Source organism: Homo sapiens, chromosome 12 (assembly GCF_000001405.40).
Source record: "Homo sapiens chromosome 12, GRCh38.p14 Primary Assembly".
Classification (NCBI taxonomy): domain Eukaryota; kingdom Metazoa; phylum Chordata; class Mammalia; order Primates; family Hominidae; genus Homo; species Homo sapiens.
In genome coordinates, this window is record NC_000012.12 from 92,937,361 (window position 1) to 92,940,600 (window position 3,240).

Sequence of the window (3,240 nt, forward strand, 5' to 3'; positions counted from 1 at the left end):
CCTGGGAGGTGGAGGTTGCAGTGAACTGAGATCACACCACTGTACTCTAGCCTGGGTGACAGAGTGAGACTGTGTCTCAAAATAAAAATAAAATAAAATAAATATTTTAAAAATGATGCTTTTAATATATGAAAAGCAATAGCCAAGTCTATCACATTTAAACTTCAAGTTTGTAGAGTACAAAATAGACAATGTAAAGGTGGCACAACAAAAATTCCCATCTATGATAACAGGGTGACTCTTGAATGCCAGTGTCTCCTAAGCAAGACCTGCCTGTGGGCCCCAAGCTGAGCAGCAACAAAATGTAATACAACATATAAAGTATTACAAAAGTGGTGTGGGTACATTTTAGAAACAGAACTAATATCTGAAGCTATTTCCTGAAATATGTCTGTGGGATTGTGGAAGCTAAAGCAACTCCATCTTAGATGCTAATCCACCATGTTGACATCTGATTAATCTGTGTTCCCGGAAGGCCTCTAAGATTTCTACTTTTTCCATTGTTACAGTGAATCCTTCCCTTAGGTCAAAACAACCTTGACCATAAATCCTACCTTAGCCAGACTCACACAGCATTCTTGCCTTCCCCTTGGAAGTCAACTTCAATTGTGCTACACATTTTTTCCCTGTGATATTTAAGCCCTGGGTCTGAAGGGTAATGGAACGGGAGTCCACCATCTCCCTTTTGGACATCTGAGACTGTGCCTTCTTTTTGTAAATCCCTGTTAAATGTTTCTTTCTGAGAATTGGTTGTATCAGCCTCTTTCTTCAGCCTCTCAGCTTCCTCAGACGTTGGGGTAGGTTTGCATAGACCTACTCACCACAGAACAGTGGTCAGGTGAAGTTATTTAGAGTGCAGTATAGAGATGTCATCCCAGCATTAGTCAGAGCTTAGATTTCTTTAAATTTGTGGAGTGTAGTGTTTTTGAAAGTGTGTTCCTTGAAGCCCTAGAGTCCTCAGAAGCCACCTCAGTGGATGGAGAAAATCGAGCAATTGAGGCCCTGTGCTATTCACCTTTGCATTAGCTGGTATAGCTTTACTTTTATCTTTATGTGTTTTACATAATAGGGTGATGAAGAAGAATTCTTTCTTTCTTTGTTTTCCTTTCTTTTTTCTTTTTCTTTTTTTTTTTTTTTTTTTTTTTTTTTTGGTTGTAGATAGGATCTCACTCTGTCGCCCAGGCTGGAGTACAGTGCTGCGATCTCAGCTCATTGCAGCCTCAACCTCTTGGCCTCAAATGATTCTCCCACCTTGGCCTCCCACAGTGCTGGGATTACAGATGTGAACCACTGTGCCCAGCCTGACATTATTTTCTTTACACTGTACACTTCAGGCATGCTGAACTATTACACATTTCTGGGCTCATCATAGTCTCTCCCTTACTTCTGAACCATTATATATGCTATTTCATATGCCTGGAATGTTCCCTACACCCATCCTACTGTTACTTGTCTAATTCCTACTCATCTGCAAGTCTCACCTTGCCTCCCAAACGAAACTACATGGCCTACGTATACCTACATTTTTGTACTCAACCCTGTAACTACAGGGAAGAAGAGACCTTGGGTCAAAAACTCAAAACACTCCGGGCCACATGACAAATTTGACAAAAATGTAAGGTACGTCTTCCAACTACCTTCTCTTGTTCTGAATACACACCCCCAAACTGTCAATTATAATTGGATTCCCATGTAGTTTTGTCTTTAAAGAGTAAATGCACTGGTCCCATTGGTACAGCACAACTCACATAAAAAATTTGTTGCCCTTTGTAAATTAATACCATTTCAGCCTCTGTACGTTTGAATATTATGAGTCTGCTAAGAGAAGAATTTACTTTCAACATGCTGACAAAAATTCAAGTTTTGAAGCTGCTGAGCAAAGATTCAGAGCCTGGACCACAGTGAATTTACCAATTTAAATGAGCATCCTGAGGTCTCTTGACAGCTAGCCAGCTGGCCTCCCTACATGATATAATTAGGATGATGGGCTGCATACAATTTAGACCTACAGCACTTCTATCTCCCCTTAGAATTTGATAGAAACTCAATGATAGATGATTCCAGAGGCTAATTCTAACAATACCATTGATTAAACTCATAGATTACTTAGAATGGTCTGAACATTTAAAGTAATGCAGTAAGGACTCAAATAAATGGTTTTTGTGAAATACTAATCTGAAAATGTCTTGCTAGCATATAGATGGCAGCATAAGTAAAGAATAGAGATGGTAAAGTACTCTAAAGTATTATTACTAGTGACATTATTATTTTGTAAAAATATATTCTAGTGGCCGAGCACGGTGGCTTATGCCTGTAATCCCACCACTTTGGGAGGCCGAGGCGGGTGGATCACGAGGTCAGGAGATCGAGACCATCCTGGCTAACACGGCAAAACCTCATCTCTACTAAAAATACAAAAAATTAGCCAGGCGTGGTGGTAGGCGCCTGTAGTCCCAGCTACTCGGGAGGCTGAGGCAGGAGAATGGCGTGAACCCGGGAGGCAGAGCTTGCAGTGAGCCAAGATCGCGCCACTGCACTCCAGCATGGGCGACAGAGTGAGACACTGTATCAAAAAAAAAAAAAAAAAAAAAAAAAATATATATATATATATGTATATATATATTCTAGTGAAAGAGGTACATACACACATTCCCTCTCTCATTTACATCATTGTTTCTAAGTGATATCAAATGAAATTTAATATTAAAATTTGTAAGATAACATAAACAACACAATACACTTTTTTTTTGTTTTAGATGAAGTCTCACCCTGTAGCCCAGGCTGGAGTGCAACGGCTCAATCTTGGCTCACTGCAATGTCTTCCTCCTGGGTTCAAGCAATTCTCCTGCCTCAGCCTCCCGAGTAGCTGGGATTACAGGCGTGCACCACCACGCCCAGCTAATTTCTTCGTATTTTTGGTAGATACAGGGTTTCACCATGTTGGCCAGGATGGTCTCGAACTCCTGACCTCCTGATCTGCCCACCTCGGCTTCCCAAAGTGCTAGGATCACAGGTGTGAGTCACCGCGCCCGGCCCAATATGCCTTTTTAAAACTTTTTCAGGACAATGCTTGTTATGAGTTAATTGGCTAAAAATGGGACCCAAAAATATATTCTATTGACATATTTTGGTTAATATAAAAAATAGACATTTAGATGATGAAAAAAAGCAACAAACAAATTAACCTGAAAAGAAAATTAAAGAACAACTTGGGAAACATACAGTACTCCTCCTCTTCCT

At 40.2% G+C, this 3,240-nt stretch overlaps 1 annotated feature.

Moving 5' to 3' along the window:
* Positions 953-1,002: an enhancer, noted in NCBI's record as "active region_6755". NCBI's record gives its function as "activates an Ori minimal core promoter by ATAC-STARR-seq in GM12878 lymphoblastoid cells {active_cell/tissue: GM12878}" and the evidence as "EXISTENCE:reporter gene assay evidence [ECO:0000049][PMID:35858748]".